A 16115-nucleotide genomic window follows, 5' to 3' on the forward strand; every position below is an offset into this window, starting at 1 on the left:
ACTCTGCCTTATAAAGCCTTCAGATTTCATGAGACTTATTCACTATCATGAGACCAGCACAGAAAAGACCTGCCCCCATGATTCAATTACCTTCCACCACGTCCCTCCCACAACATGTGGGAATTAAAGATGAGTCTTGGGTTGGGACATGGGCAAACCATATCATCTTAAAAAATGGAGTTTACATGAAACATCTTAAAATTAAAACAATATATTTATATCTCATGACAACTTCAATTGAATATAAAGATTATACCTCTATATTTTTCAGTTTATTAATGTTAAAATTATTTTATATTGTGTATTAACATATTTATGCAGGTTTTTATTCTGTTTTAAATATTCTACAGAATAGCTTTAAGAGTTATATGCATCATCATTATAATAGTAAAAATTTCTATATTTGTATATTTACATTTAATAGAGAGCTTTATTTTATATATGGTTTTATGATGCTGTCCAGTAGTATTTTTAAACAAAATGGACTTATTATAGCAGTTCTTACTATATGTAGAGTCTCACTGTATTACTCAGGCTGACCTGAAACTCCTGGCCTCTAGTGTTCTGATAGCCTTGGCCTCCTAAAACTGTAAAATTAGAGGCATGAGCCACGGTGCCTGGCCACCATGTACCATTTTTTTTGGTAGAACTGTGCTACTGGTGATGAACACCCTTACCTTTTATTTTGGATTTTTTAATTTTCATCTTTTTAAAGAGAAATACATTTAAATCAAATATTATTGGTTAGAAATATTTTTTCCTTTTATTACATCAAAATTTGGGAATTTTTATCTTCAAGTAATCTCTATGTTATTTTTTTCCCATATTCTTCCTCTGAGATTTTCTTAATGAATATATTGATCTAGTTGATGGTATCCAATCACTTTTACATTCCATGTTTTAATTTTGTTTTGGAAGTTTATATTTTTATGTTATATATTTTAGGGTATGCTACCACACATCCATTAATTGTGTTTTGATTTTTTAGTATATATTATAATTGTGCATGCCAATATTTTAACTTTATATAATTTAAGACATTGTGGAGCAAAATCATATATGAATTAGCCATATGTCTTTTTCTGATAGAATTATCTGTATGTTTGTTTGCCTGTATAAATGTTATCCTTGTATTTTTTTAATAACGTGTATATTTGTTGTGTAAGTTTGTTGTGAATGGTTTTCTAATCCTGTGTAGATGTGAAGTCATAAAATTATTGTAATTTCAACATCCTATTTATTTGTGAGTCTATGTAATTTTTGTGTGGTAGAAACATTTTTGGATTTGAATATAATTTAAAACAATCATAATTATTTATCTCTTTTAGGTATTATTGTTTATTTTTGCTTGTCTAAAAAACACGACAAAATTTACCACAAAATATTTTTAAATATTCAGTTTAGTCATATTGTCTTGACATTGTAATGCAACATATTGCTAAAATGTTTCTATCTTGCAAAGCTAAATCTTAATACGTATTAAACAGCTACCAATTTTTCCTTCTTTTTTTCTTTTTTGAGATGGAGTCTTATTCTGTCACCCTCACTGGAGTGCAGTGGCGTGATCTCAGCTCACTGCAACCTCCACCTTCCAGGTTCAAGCAATTTTAGTGCTTCAGCCTTCTGAGTAGCTGGGGCTGCAGGCACCTGCCACCATGCCCAGCTAACTTTTTGTATTGTTTTAGTAGAGATGGGGTTTCACCCTGTTAGCCAGGATGGTCTTGATCTCCTGACCTCATGATCCACCTGCCTCAGCCTCCCGAAGTGCCGGGATTACAGGCATGAGCCACCGCTCCCCAGCCAAAACCGCAACTGAGCTTCTTTATTTTTACATCATTTTTTCTAACTTTTAGGATCTGTCAGTTTCCTTTTGTATTTTTTACCTCCACAGTTTCCGTTTTTATGAAATGTTAAATATTTTTGTTCTCGTCCTCATTTTTGTGATTTTCCATACTTGTCTCTGTTCCTGTTTTAATCAGTATTATTCAATTTATTACCAATTCTTAAAATTAATGTATAAATCTTATTTTTTTATGGTTTCTTTCAGAAAATTTTATGATATTTTTGGTGGGATGATACTGCTATATTTTGTATATATTATAAGCTTTCAGTTTTTTACATTAGAAAAATCTACCTGTCAAAATTTTTATAATGTGGCTTTGTCCTGGCATAGTCTGAAAACAATTGTCTTGGCTCATCATTATGGCAGTTTTTCAAACATATTCTTAGGACCTGTATTGTCTGAAATTTTGTGTTCAGTTTTTAGTTAAGAGAGTTTATTCATATTACTTTGTAGGAGTCAGTAATCACTTGCTACACCTGTTCCTTTTCTGTGGTACTGCAGTCTGGCGGCTGCTGGAACATTTCTCTTTGGTCTCAGTGGACTCAAACTCTCATTCCGAAGTATACCACCATTTCTGTCAGCACTTTATGTCATGAGAGACAGAAAACAGTGTCCAAAAAAAGCCCCTAAAAGCCAGAAATGATAATGAATGTGCCAGTATTTTACCTTTCTTTTAAAACAGAAATGAAGAGTTTGCAATTTACTTCTAAAGGCACTATGTTATAGTGGGAAGCAGGAAAAGCTGTGTTGGGTAAATTTAGACTTTTCTTTTTCTTCTATGTGGTTTTTTGCATTGTGCTCTTCTGGAACACTGCACACAGTGAATGTTCACATCTGTGAACATTTCCCACAGATGTATTTTGGTTTGTAAGTTTTTGTTACATTTAAATGTCTATGAAAGAATTAGGGTCTGTGGTATTTTGCAAAACCATCTTGTTTTTGTAGGTTGTATAATTTTATAGGTAAGATTTTTAAACTATATTTATGTCAGTATAGTAAGTGGAGTAAATTATTTTAATTTTTTTTTAGGTATATGTCCTCATTTTGCTCAAGACATTTGGCCAGAGCAGGGCGTGGAAGATTCTTTTCAAAAAGTAATACTAAGAAGATTTGAAAAATGTGGACATGAGAATTTACAGTTAAGAAAAGGTTGTAAAAGTGTGGATGAGTGTAAGGTACACAAAGAAGGTTATAATGGACTTAACCAGTGTTTCACAACTACCCAGGGCAAAGCTTCTCAATGTGGTAAATATTTGAAAGTCTTTTATAAATTTATAAATTTAAACAGATATAAGATAAGACATACTAGAAAGAAACCTTTCAAATGTAAAAATTGTGTCAAATCATTTTGCATGTTTTCACACAAAACCCAGCATAAAAGCATATATACTACAGAGAAGTCCTACAAATGTAAAGAATGTGGAAAAACCTTTAATTGGTCCTCAACCCTTACTAATCATAAGAAAACTCATACTGAAGAAAAGCCCTACAAATGTGAAGAATATGGCAAAGCTTTTAATCAATCCTCAAATTATACTACACATAAGGTAACTCATACTGGAGAGAAGCCTTACAAGTGTGAAGAATGTGGCAAAGCATTTAGCCAATCCTCAACACTAACCATACATAAGAGGATACATACTGGAGAGAAACCCTGCAAATGTGAAGAATGTGGCAAAGCATTTAGCCAACCCTCAGCACTAACCATACATAAGAGGATGCACATTGGAGAGAAACCCTACAAATGTGAAGAATGTGGCAAAGCATTTGTTTGGTCCTCAACCCTAACTAGACATAAGAGGCTGCACAGTGGAGAGAAACCCTACAAATGTGAAGAATGTGCCAAAGCTTTTAGCCAATTCGGACACCTTACTACACATAGGATAATTCATACTGGAGAGAAACCCTACAAATGTGAAGAATGTGGCAAAGCATTTATATGGCCCTCAACCCTAACTAAACATAAGAGGATTCACACTGGAGAGAAACCCTACAAATGTGAAGAATGTGGCAAAGCTTTTCATCGATCCTCAAATCTTACTAAACATAAGATAATTCATACTGGAGAGAAACCTTACAAGTGTGAAGAATGCGGCAAAGCGTTTATATGGTCCTCAAACCTTACTGAACATAAGAAAATTCATACTAGAGAGAAACCCTACAAATGTGAAGAATGTAGTAAAGCATTTAGCCGATCCTCAGCCCTAACTACACATAAGAGGATGCACACTGGAGAGAAACCCTACAAATGTGAAGAATGTGGCAAAGCTTTTAGCCAGTCCTCAACCCTTACTGCACATAAGATAATTCATACTGGAGAGAAACCCTACAAATGTGAAGAATGTGGCAAAGCATTTATATTGTCCTCGACCCTATCTAAACATAAGAGGATTCACACTGGAGAGAAACCCTACAAATGTGAAGAATGTGGCAAAACTTTTAATCAATCCTCAAATCTTAGTACACATAAGATAATTCATACTGGAGAGAAACCTTACAAGTGTGAAGAATGTGGAAAAGCGTTTAATCGATCCTCAAATCTTAGTACGCATAAGATAATTCATACTGGAGAGAAACCTTACAAGTGTGACGAATGTGGCAAATCATTTATCTGGTCCTCAACCCTTTTTAAGCATAAGAGGATTCATACTTGAGAGAAACCTTAAAAAGGGTAAAGAATGTGGCAAAGCATTTATATGGTCCTCAACGCTAAACATAAGAGGATGCACACTGGAGAGAAACCCTACAAATGTGAAGAATGTGAAAAAGCTTTTAATCCTCAAATCTTACTAAACATTAGATAATTCACACTGGAGAGAAACCTTACAAGTGTGAAGAATGTGGGAAAGCTTTTAATCATTCTCAAATCTTACTACACATAAGATAATTCATACTGGAAATAAACCCTACAAATGTGAAAAATGTGGCAAAGCATATGGTCCACACCCCTAAGTAGACATAAGAGGATGCACACTGGAGAGAAACCTTACAAATGTGAGGAATGTGGCAAAGCCTTTAAATGTTCCTCAACTGTTACTGAACATAAAGTAATTCATACTGAAGAGAAACCCTACAAATGTGAAAAATGTGTCAAAGCCTTTAAGCAGTCTTCAATCCTGAGTAACCATAAGATAATTCAAACTGGAAAGAAACCCTGCAAGTCTGAAGAATGTGGGAAATCTTTCTTTTTTTTCCATTGCACCTTTATTGTTTATTCTGTTCACTGTTCAGAATTTTCATACAGTCTTTCTAGAATCAAGAAGGGTGTACAGTGGTATTCCTGTGGCTTTCTCTCCTCTCCAGCTCCTCTCTTGTTCAGCAGCCTCCGGACCCCCAAGGGCTAAGGAATCAGACACACCGGGTTTGGATCCTGACTCCACTAGGAGCCATGTGATCTCAGGGATATTTCTTGATCTCTCTGAGCTCTTTTTCCTTTTTCTGCAATGTGGGGAAAAGGCTCCCTCTCTCACAGAGTTACTACCAGAATTCAATGACTCCAAGTATCCAAAGCATCTGGCACAGTGCCTGGGCACACAGTATGCCCAGATGCACCTTAGCTTCCTTCCTTCTGGCAGGGAAAAGATACCTGATAAAGCCAGAGCCAGCTGCTTAGGGGCATTTGCTTTATAAAGAGCCTGGTCCCTTTAACAGAGGCCAAGAAATGACTCTCTAATGGTGGAATTTCAGACACCATAGCATGGGTGAGGGAGAGATCTGGAGGCATAGACTATAGAAGTCTCAGAATCATTTGAATCCAGCCAGGCAGACTGCTGCTGCTTCTGCCCAGGGGCAAGGCTGGTGATACAGTTTGGCTGTAACCCCACGCAAATCTCGTCTTGAATCCCCACATGTTGTGGGGAGAGACCCAGTGGGAGGTAACTGAATCACAGGGGCAGGTTTCCCATGGAATGTGGGAAATCTTTTAACCTGTCTTCAACTTTTATTAAACATAAGGTAATTCATACTGGAGTAAAACTCTACAAATGTGAAGAATGTGGCAAAGTGTTTTTCTGGTCCTCAGCCCTAACTAGACATAAGAAAATTCATGCTGGACAGCAACCCTACAAATGGGAAAAAATTGGCAAAGCCTTTAACCAGTCCTCACATCTTACTACAGATAAGATAACTCATATTGGAGAGAAATCTTACAAGTGTGAATAATATGGAAAGCCTAAAAAAGTCCTCAATTCTTAACAGATATAAGATTATTCATACTGAAGAGAAACTCTACAAATCTGAAAGATGTGCCCAGTGCCTTTGACAGCATCTCAAACTTTTCTAAACAAAATCATGCTGCTGACAAATCCTAGAAATGTGAAGAATGTGACAAAGCCTTTAAATGATTGTTGCACTTCATTGTATGTAAGATCATTTATACTGGAAAAAACTACCAATGTGAACAATGTGGCCAAGCTTCTAACCAATGCTCATAGCTTATTGCACCGGTAAGCATTTATATTTGAGAACAAATGTACAAATATAGACAAAGCAAAAAAGCCATTAATACCTGCTCACATCTTACTCAAAATCAGAGTTCATACTGAATAAAAGCATTAAAAATCTAATTACCGTCAAAAGATCAGAAAATATGTCTTTAAAGTGCAGAAGCATATTTATTTTGAAAAAGCATTACAAATATGAAGAGGGTTGTAATACATTTACTTGTCTCACAGATCTTATTGTACACATTTTGTACTAGAGGAAAACCCTGAGGCAGTTATTAAAATTTTGTTCAACATCAGGGAGTTTATATTGAAGAAAACCCTGCAAATGTAATGAATTTGGAAAAACATTTTTTCAAAAACTACAAATTATGAAACACCAAAGCGTTCATACTAAAATATATTTTTGCAGATGCATTAAATATGAAAGATGTTCAATCCAAAATTAAGTCTATGTAAATATCAGGGAATAATTCACAGTAGAAATATTTAGGGCACTCAAACTTTAGACATTACACTAAATCAGTGCTGAGTATAGGAAATAATACAAACTAAAGTTCGTGTAAACATTATTTGTATATAACTTTAAAAGAAGAATATTTTTTGGAGAGTTATAATTACAATCAAAGTATAACTTTTTTTTGAAAATACAGAATTTTAAAAAAGCAAATAATGGAGTTAAACTCTTAAATTACTTCATGCTGTTCCATCATTCCTGGTGTATTCACATGTGAAAACATGTGACTAATTGTAGCTGCATTAAAGATATGAGAGATTCTTTTTTATTAGGTAGGCCTTTATGACTTTTTCTATGGAAAGGTAAGGACATTAAAATGTAAGATACATGATGAAAATTTAAGTAGAGAGGCTCTTTGGGTTAACTTGTAATGTTGAGTGATGCATGAGGTAGGTGTTCAGAGTAATATTTTTATGCATTATCATGAAAGAAAAACTTTTTTTTTTTCATGGCAGTTTGATTTTTATTTTTATTTTAATTTATTTTTTATTTATTTATTTTTTAAGGTCACAGATCAACAGGATCCCAAGGCAGAAGAATTTTTCTTAGTACAGAACAAAATGAAAAGTCTCCCATGTCTACCTCTTTCTACACAGACACGGCAACCATCCGATTTCTCAATCTTTTCCCCACCTGTCCCCCCTTTCTATTCCACAAAACCGCCATTGTCATCATGGCCCGTTCTCAATGAGCTGTTGGGTACACCTCCCAGACGGGGTGGTGGCCGGGCAGAGGGGCTCCTCACTTCCCAGTAGGGGCGGCTGGGCAGAGGCGCCCCTCACCTCCCGAACGGGGCGGCTGGCCGGGCGGGGGGCTGACCCCCCCCACCTCCCTCCCGGCCGGGGCGGCTGGCCGGGCGGGGGGGCTGACCCCCCCACCTCCCTCCCAGACAGGGTGGCTGGCCGGGTGGGTGGCTGACCCCTCCACCTCCCTCCCGGACGGGGCGGCTGGCCGGGCAGGGGGCTGACCCCCACCTCCCTCCCAGCCGGGGCGGCTGGCCGGGCGGGGGGCTGACCCCCCCACCTCCCTTCCGGACGAGGTGGCTAGCGGGCGGAGACCCTCCTCACTTCCCAGATGGGGTGGCTGCTGGGCGGAGGGGCTCCTCACTTCTCAGACGGGGTGGCTGCCGGGCAGAGGGGCTCCTCACTTCTCAGACGGGGCGGTTGCCAGGCAGAGGGGCTCCTCACTTCTCAGACGGGGCGGCCGGGCAGAGACGCTCCTCACATCCCGGACAGGGTGGCAGGGCAGAGGTGCTCCCCACATCTCAGACGATGGGCAGCCGGGCAGAGACGCTCCTCACTTCCCAGATGGGATGGCGGCCGGGAAGAGGCGCTCCTCACTTCCTAGATGGGATGGCGGCCGGGCAGAGATGCTCCTCACTTTCCAGACTGGGCAGCCAGGCAGAGGGGCTCCTCACATCCCAGACGATGGGCGGCCAGGTAGAGACGCTCCTCACTTCCCAGATGGGGTGGTGGCCGGGCAGAGGCTGCAATCTCGGCACTTTGGGAGGCCAAGGCAGGCTGCTGGGAGGTGGAGGTTGTAGCAAGCCGAGATCACGCCACTGCACTCCAGCCTGGGCACCATTGAGCACTTGAAAAACATTCTTTAGTTAACATTAAGTTAGTAGTATGTTACTGTACTTTTATGGAATAATATACAGTATATTTTTAAATTATGTGTGAACTTAACTTTTCAATTCAGCATTTTTAACATGTTAAATACTATCATGAATTCATTGAAGCATTATGCCACTAACTTTAACCTATTCCACCTTACTCAATGGTGTAGGTAAAAGATGGTAACAATACACTATTTGGTAAGATAATGGACTGACATCTCTAGTAATCTTTTTGTCAGTGGCTTTAAATTGCCAATAAGTTAAAGAATGTTGTTCCTATAGGTTAAATTTTATTCTTATTTTTACATTTAAATTTATTTTTCTTAATTTTTGTGGATATGTAATATGTGTATATGCTTATGCCATATATGGCATATTTTGATACAGGCATGTGATATATAATCTTAGATGTAAATAAATTATGGAGTGTGTTTGTGTTAGTGTAAGTTTGAAACTATTTTTAGCCAAAAAAAAGTAATATTGGAACAAAATAAATCATTTTAAGAAGGTGTCTAATTTACTAGAAAAAAACCAAAATTCTCAAAATTACTGAAAGTAAATCTATCCTCTGTACTTTGTATTAAATTTATTACTGTATAACCTTTTGGCTTATGCTTCAGAATCTCCCCATGCAAATTCTCTGTTTTAACTTGACTGTTACTCATGTTAGAACCATAATTTTGTTTGTTCGTTTAATAGTTTTTTTTTCTTTTTTTTTTCCTTTTTTTTTTTTTTGAGCTGGAGTCTTGCTCTGTTGCCCAGACTGGAGTGCAATGGTGTGATGTTGGCTCATTGCAATCTCTGCCTTTCAGGTTCAAGCAGTTCCCCTGCCTCAGCCTCCCAAGTAGCTGGGATTACAGGTTCCCGCCACCAGCCCAGCTAATTTTTGTATTTTTAGTAGAGACAGGATTTTGCTATGTTGGTCAGGCTGGTCTTAAACTTCTGACCTAAGGTGATCCACCCACATCAGCCTCCCAAAATACTGGGATTACAGGTGTGAGCCACCGTGCCTGGCCTGTGTGTAATAGTTTATGAAATATTCATTATGTGAGCTGGTCTGTAAGTATAAGAATGATTTTTTTTTTAATTTCATTGTTCCATTTATTGGGGTACAGGTGGTGTTTGGTTAGATGAGTTAAGTTCTTTAGTGGTGATTTGTGAGACCCTGATGGACCCATCACCTGAGCAGTATATACTGCACCATATATGTTGTCTTTTATCCCTCCCCCTTCCCACTCTTCCCCCCCAAGTCTCCAAAGTCTATTTTATCATTCTTATACCTTTGCATTCTCATATCTTACCTCCCACATATCAGCAAGAACATATGATGTTTGGTTTTCCATTCCTCAGTTACTTCACTTAGAATAATAGTCTCCAATATCATCCAGGTCATTGCAAATGCTGTTAATTTCTTTTTGTGGTGAGTAGTATTCCAACATATATGTATATGTCATAGTTTCTTTATCTGTTTGTTGATTGATGGGCATTTTGGTTGGTTCCACGAGTTCAAAATTGTGAATTGTGCTGCTGGAAATATGGATGTTCAAGTTTCTTTTTCAAATAATCAGTATTTGGGTTTATTTCTGGGTTCTCTGTTCCATTGGTCTATATTTCAAATAATGACTTCTTTTCCTGTGGGTAGATACCCAGTGGTGAGATTGCTGGATCAAATGGTAGTTCTACTTTTAGTTCATTAAGGAATCTCCCCACTTTTTTCCATAGCGGCTGTACTAGTTTAGATTTCCACTAGAAGTGTAGAAGTGTTCCCTGATCACTGCATCCACGCCAACATCTACAGTTTTTCGATATTTTGATTATGGCCATTCTTGCAGGAATAAGGTGGTATGGCATTGTGGTTTTGATTTGCATTTCCCTTATCATTAGTGATGTTGAACTTTTTAAATGTTTGTTAGCCATTTGTATATCTTTTGAGAATTGTCTATTCATGTCTTTGGCCCACTTTTTGATGGGATTTTTTTTTTTTTTTTTTTTCTGACTGATTCGTTTGAGTTCACTGTAGATTCTGGATATTAGTCCTTTGGCAGATGTATAGATTGTGAAGATTTTCTCCCACTCTGTGAGTTCTCTGTTTACTCCGCTGACTGTTTCATTTGCCATGCAAAACCTCTTTAGTTTAATTAGGTCCCAGCTATTTATCTTTGTTTTTACTGCGTTTGCTTTTGGTCATGAAATTTTTGCCTAGCCAATGCCTAGAAGGGTTTTTCCAAGGTTATCATGCAAAATTTTTATAGTTTCAGGTCTTAGGTTTAAGTCCTTATTTCATCTTGAGTTGATTTTCATATAAGGTGAGAAATGAGGATCCAGTTTCATTCTCCTACATGTGGCTAGCCAATTATCCCAGCACCATTTGTTGAAAAGGGTGTCCTTTCCCACATTATGTTTTTGTTTGCTTTGTTGAAGATCAGTTGGCTGTATTTGGGTTTATTTCTGGGTTCACTCTTCTTTTGGTCTATGTGCCTATTTTTATACCAGTACCATGCTGTTTTGGTGACTAGAGCCTTATAGTTTGAAATCAGGTAGTGTGGTGCCTCGAGATTTGTTCTTTTTGCTTAGTCTTGCTTTGGCTATGTGGGCTCTATATGAATGTTAGAATCGTTTTTTTTAACTGTGTGAAGAATGATGGTGGTATTTTGAAGGGGATTCTGTGGAATTTGTAGATTGCTTTAGGCAGTATGGTCATTTCCACAAATTTAATTCTATCCTTCCATGAGCATGGGATGTGTTTCTATTTGTTTGTGTCATCTATGATATCTTTCAGCAGTGTTTTGTAGTTTTCCTTGTAGAGTTCTTTTGACTCCTTCATTAGATATGTTCCTAAGTATTTTATTTTTATTCAGCTATTGTAAAAGGGGTTGAGTTCCTGATTATTTCTCCATTTGGTTGCTGTTGGTAAATAAAAGAACTACTGATTTGTATACGTTAATCTTGTATCCAGAAACTGCTGAATTCTTTTATCAGTTCTAGGAGCTTTCTGGAGGAGTCCTCAGGGTTTTCAAGGTAAATTATCATATCATCAGCAAACAGGTACAGTTTGACTTCCTGTTTACTGATTTGGATGCCCTTTATTTCTTGTCTTATTGCTCTAGGTAGGACTCCAGAACTATGTTGAAGTGGAGTGTTGAGAATGGGCATCCTTTCTTTTTTCTGTTCTCAGAGGGAATGCTTTCAACTTTTCCCCATTCTCTATTATGTTGGCTGCGGGTTTGTCATAGATAGCTTTTATTACATGAAGTTGTGACCCCTGTATGCCAACTTTGCTGAGAGTTTTAATCATAAAGTGATGCTGGATTTTGTCAAATGGTTTTTCTGCATCTATTGAAATAATCATTTGATTTTTGTTTTGAATTCTATTTATGTGGTGTATCACATTTGTTGACGTGTGTGTGTTAAACCATCCCTGCATCCCTGGTATGCAACCCACTTGATTATGGTGGATTATCTTTTTGACATGTTGTTGGATTTGGTTAGCTAGTATTTTGTTAAGAATTTTAGCATCAATGTTTGTCAAGGATATTAATCTGTAGTTTTCTTTTCTGGTTTTGTCTTTTCTGGTTTTGGTTGTAGGGTGATGCTGGCTTCACAGAATGAATTAGGGAGGGTTCCTTCTTTCCCTATCTTGTGGAACAATGTCAAAAGTATTGGTACCAATTCTTTGAATATCTGGTAGAATTCTGTGAATCAGTCTGGTCCTGGACTTTTTTTCTTGGTGATTTTTAAATTACCATTTTAATTTCACTCTTTTTTATTGGTCTGTTCAGGGTATCTAATTCTTCCTGATTTAAGCTAGGAGGGTTGTATTTTTCCAGGAATTTATCCATCTCTTCTAGATTTTCTAGTTTATGTGTGTAAAGGTGTTCATAGTAGCCTTGAATAATTTTTTGCGTTTCAGTGGTGTCAGTTATAATATCTCCTGTTTCATTTCTCAGTGAGGTTATTTGGATTTTCTCTCTTCTTTTCTTGGTTAATCTTGCTAATGGCCTATCAATTTTATTTATCTTTTCTAAGGAGTAGCTCTTTGTTTCATTTACCTTTTTTATTTTTTCTTTTAATTTCAATTAGTTATGTTCTGATCATGGTTATTTCCTTTTTTCTGCTGGGTTTGGGTTTGGTTTGTTCTTGTTTCTCTGGTTCCTTGAGGTGGACCTTAGATTGTCTGTGCTCTTTCAGACTTTTTGATGTAGGCATTTAGGGATATGAACTTTCCTCTTACCATCTTCGCTGTATCCAAGAGGTTTTGATTGGTTGTGTCATTATTGTCATTCAGTTTGAAGAATTTTTATGTTCCATATTGGTTTTGTTTTTGACCCAGTGCTCATTCAGGAGCAGGTTATTTAATTTCCATGTATTTGCATGGTTTTGAAAGTTCCTTTGAGAGTTGATTTCCAGTTTTATTCCACTGTGCTCTGAGAGAGTGCTTGATGTAATTTCAATTTTCTTAAATTTATTGAGGCTCGTTTTATGGCCTATCATATGATCTATCTTGGAAAAAGTTCCATTCGCTGTTGAATAGAATTTGTGTTCTGCGGTTGTAGGATTAAATGTTTTGTATATACCTGTTAAGTTCATGTGTTCCGGGGTATAGTTAAATCCATTGTTTCTTTGTTTACTTTCTGTCTTAATGATCTGTCTAGTGCTGTCAGTGGAGTATTGAAGTCCCTCCCTCTTATGGTATTGATGTCTATCTCATTTCTTAGGTCTATTAATAATTGTTTTATAAATTTTGGAGCTCCAGTGTTAGGTGCATATATGTTTAGGATTGTGATGTTTCCCTGTTGGATCAGGCCACTTACGATTATATAGTGTCCATCTTTGTCTCTTTTAACCACTGTTTCTTTAAAATTTGTTTTGTCTGATATAAGAATAGCTACCCCTGTTTTCTTTTGGTGTCCATTTGCATGAAATGCCTTTTTCCATCTCTCCACTTTTGAGTCCTTATGTTAAGTGAGTCTCCTGAAGACAGCAGATAGTTGGTGAGTTCTTGTCCATTCTGCAGTTCTGTGTCTTTTAATTGGAGCATTTAGGCCATTTCCATTCAGTGTTAGTATTGAAATGTGATGTACAATTACATTCATCATGCTCTTTGTTGTCTGCATACTTTGGTGTTTTTTTTTGGGGAGGGAAGGTGAGGGGAATGGAGTCGTGCTCTGTCTCCAGGGTGGAGTGCAGTGGCTTGATCTTGGCTCACTGCAACCTCCACCTCCCAGGTTCAAGCGATTCTCCTGCCTCAGCCTTCTGAGTAGCTAGGACTACAAATGTGCACCACCACGCCCAGCTAATTTTTGTATATTTAGTAGAGATGGGGTTTCACCCCCATGTCTAGAAATTCAATGGCAATAAATATTGTTGCCCACATATTAAAATCCAATATCCAGGACCAATTTTAAATTCAATGGTATTGGATAGCAGAGCTACAGACCCAGAAATGTAAAATATGTTCTAAATATTCTAAAGGTTCTATCAGAAAACAGTATTTTGAAATTAAATATGTAGAAGCTTTCATAATATTTTCTCTACTGAACATGGTACTAGGTTGCTAACTGGAGAATCCCAGCAAGTCATATTACTTTTTTCTAACAAAACAGGCCTTGCTGTCTCTAACCCTGATCTGATCTCCTGCCTTGAGCAAATAAAAGAGCCCTGGAATGTGAAGAGACATGAGACAGTAGTCAAATACTCAGGTAGGTAAGCATGAATGAAGCCGATAACACAGATGACAGGTTCAAAGGTCAAAAAGAATGCCAGACTTTAAAATGTGATATGGGATGCTCTGCTTCAGTGGAAAGATTTCCTAAAAAGCCTTTTTTTTTCCTCTAGCTCTGAAGTAGGAGCATTTTTGTCCCATACCCTTAAATTATTTCTAAGGACTCTACTTCCTATTTAGTGATTTTCCTTTGAGGGTACCATGAGAACTAAACTCCTCTTTATGGCTTATAAGGTACTGCATGATATACCTGCTCTTCCATTGCTTCGGGGGAATATAAAAATATCTCGAGTATTTTTGAGGAACTGCATGTTAGATTATTTCTCAAATTTTCCCATCATGTCTGAAATGTATGAGAGCAGTGGTGATATTAAGATTTGTTTCAGAAATCTCAGGAACATCAATGACAGAGGTTACTTATTTCTCTATTTTCTGTTTTTAATATTAGCAATCCTAACTCAAGTGATAGCTCATTATTGTTTTCATTTGCAGTTGCCTGTTGTTAGGTGATATTGACCACTTTTTTTATATACCTATTGGTCATGTGTATATATTTGCTGGCAAAATATTTTTTGAATCTTTTGACCATTTTTCTGTTGGGTTTTTATTGTTATACTTGCCTTTGCTTTGAATTTCCTGTATATTTTGAATATTAAGCTTTTCTTGTATATATGGTTTGCTATTGTGAGCATGCAATAAACATTCAAGTATAGGTATCATTTTCTTATAATAAACTATTTTTCTTTGAGTAGATACCCAATGATGAGACTTTTAAATCAAATGGTAGTTCTATTTATAGTTGAGACTGAGCATTTTTGTCATATGTGTGTTGGCTATTTGCATGTCTTTATTGAAAAATGTTTACTAATGTTATTTGCCCATTTTTCAATGGGATTCTTTATTATTATGATATTTTTGAGTTGTTTGAGTTACTTGTAAATTCTGAATGTTAGTTTCATTTTGGCACATAGTTTGCAAATATGTTCATTTATTCTGTAGGTTGCCTATTTACCCTGTTGATTATTTTTTTTGCTGTGCCAAAGCTTTTTAGTCCCGTTTGTCTATTTTTAATAATAATATAATAAATAATAATACAATAATAGTTTTCTTTGTTGTGTCCTTGCCTAATGTTGGTATCAGGGTGAAACTGACCTCAGAGTGACTTAGGAAGAATTTCATTTTTGGGAAGAGTTTCAAGAGGATTGTTATTCAAATACATTTGGTAGAATTTGGCTGTGCATTTTTCTAGTCCTAAGCTTTTCTTTGTCAAGACATTTTTAATTACTGACTCAATCATGCTACTCATTATTGGTTTGTTCAGGTACTCTATTTCTTTCTGGCTCTATCTTGGGAGGTTGTATGTTTCCATAAATTTATTTACTCTAAGTTTTCAGGTTTGTGAGTGTCTAGTTGTTTATAATCATTTCTAGTGATCTTTTGTATTACTGTTGTATCCATTGTAATGTCTATTCTTTCATTTCTGATTTTGTTTATTTAGATCTCTCTTCTGTTTGTGATGAATCTAGCTAGCAATTTATCAATTTTGTCTTTTTGAAAAACCAACTCTTTATTCTGTTGATAATTTTTATTGTTTTGGTTTTTATTTCATTTGGTTCTGTTCTGATTTTTGTTATGATTTTCTTCTAACTTGGAATTTGTTTTTTTATTAATATTCTAGTTCCTCGAAGTGTGATGCCAGGTCCTTAATATGTAAGCTTTCTACTTTTTTGATGCAGGCATTTAGGCTATAAACTGCCCTCTTAGTACTATATTTACTGTATCTCACAGATTTTATTATACTGTGTTTCTATTTCCATCTTTTTTCCCACAAAGTTTTAAGTTTCATCTTAATATTATTTTTGAGATGGGCTTTACTCTGTCACCCAGGCTGGAATGTAGTGGCACAGTCTTGGCTCACTGCAACCTCCACCTTCCAGGCTCAAGCGATCTTTTTATCTCAGCCTCCTGAGTAG

General features: G+C 36.7%; 1 protein-coding gene across 2 annotated transcripts in view; it reads left to right on the forward strand.

Moving 5' to 3' along the window:
• ZNF726 (zinc finger protein 726) overlaps window positions 1-15244 on the forward strand; it is a 29829-nt gene extending 14585 nt beyond the window's left edge. Inside the window, exon 4 of one of the 2 annotated variants that reach the window (NM_001348687.2) lies at window positions 14024-15244. In NM_001348687.2, coding sequence (NP_001335616.1) covers window positions 14024-14127 — 104 coding nt within the window. In that variant the 3' untranslated portion in view covers window positions 14128-15244. Of the gene's footprint in view, window positions 1-2872; window positions 5015-14023 lie in introns of those variants that run through there. The other variant, NM_001244038.2, reaches the window with a different exon arrangement.
• The last annotated feature ends 871 nt before the right edge of the window (window positions 15245-16115 follow it).

The sequence above is a fragment of the Homo sapiens genome, chromosome 19 (assembly GCF_000001405.40).
Source record: "Homo sapiens chromosome 19, GRCh38.p14 Primary Assembly".
Taxonomy (NCBI): domain Eukaryota; kingdom Metazoa; phylum Chordata; class Mammalia; order Primates; family Hominidae; genus Homo; species Homo sapiens.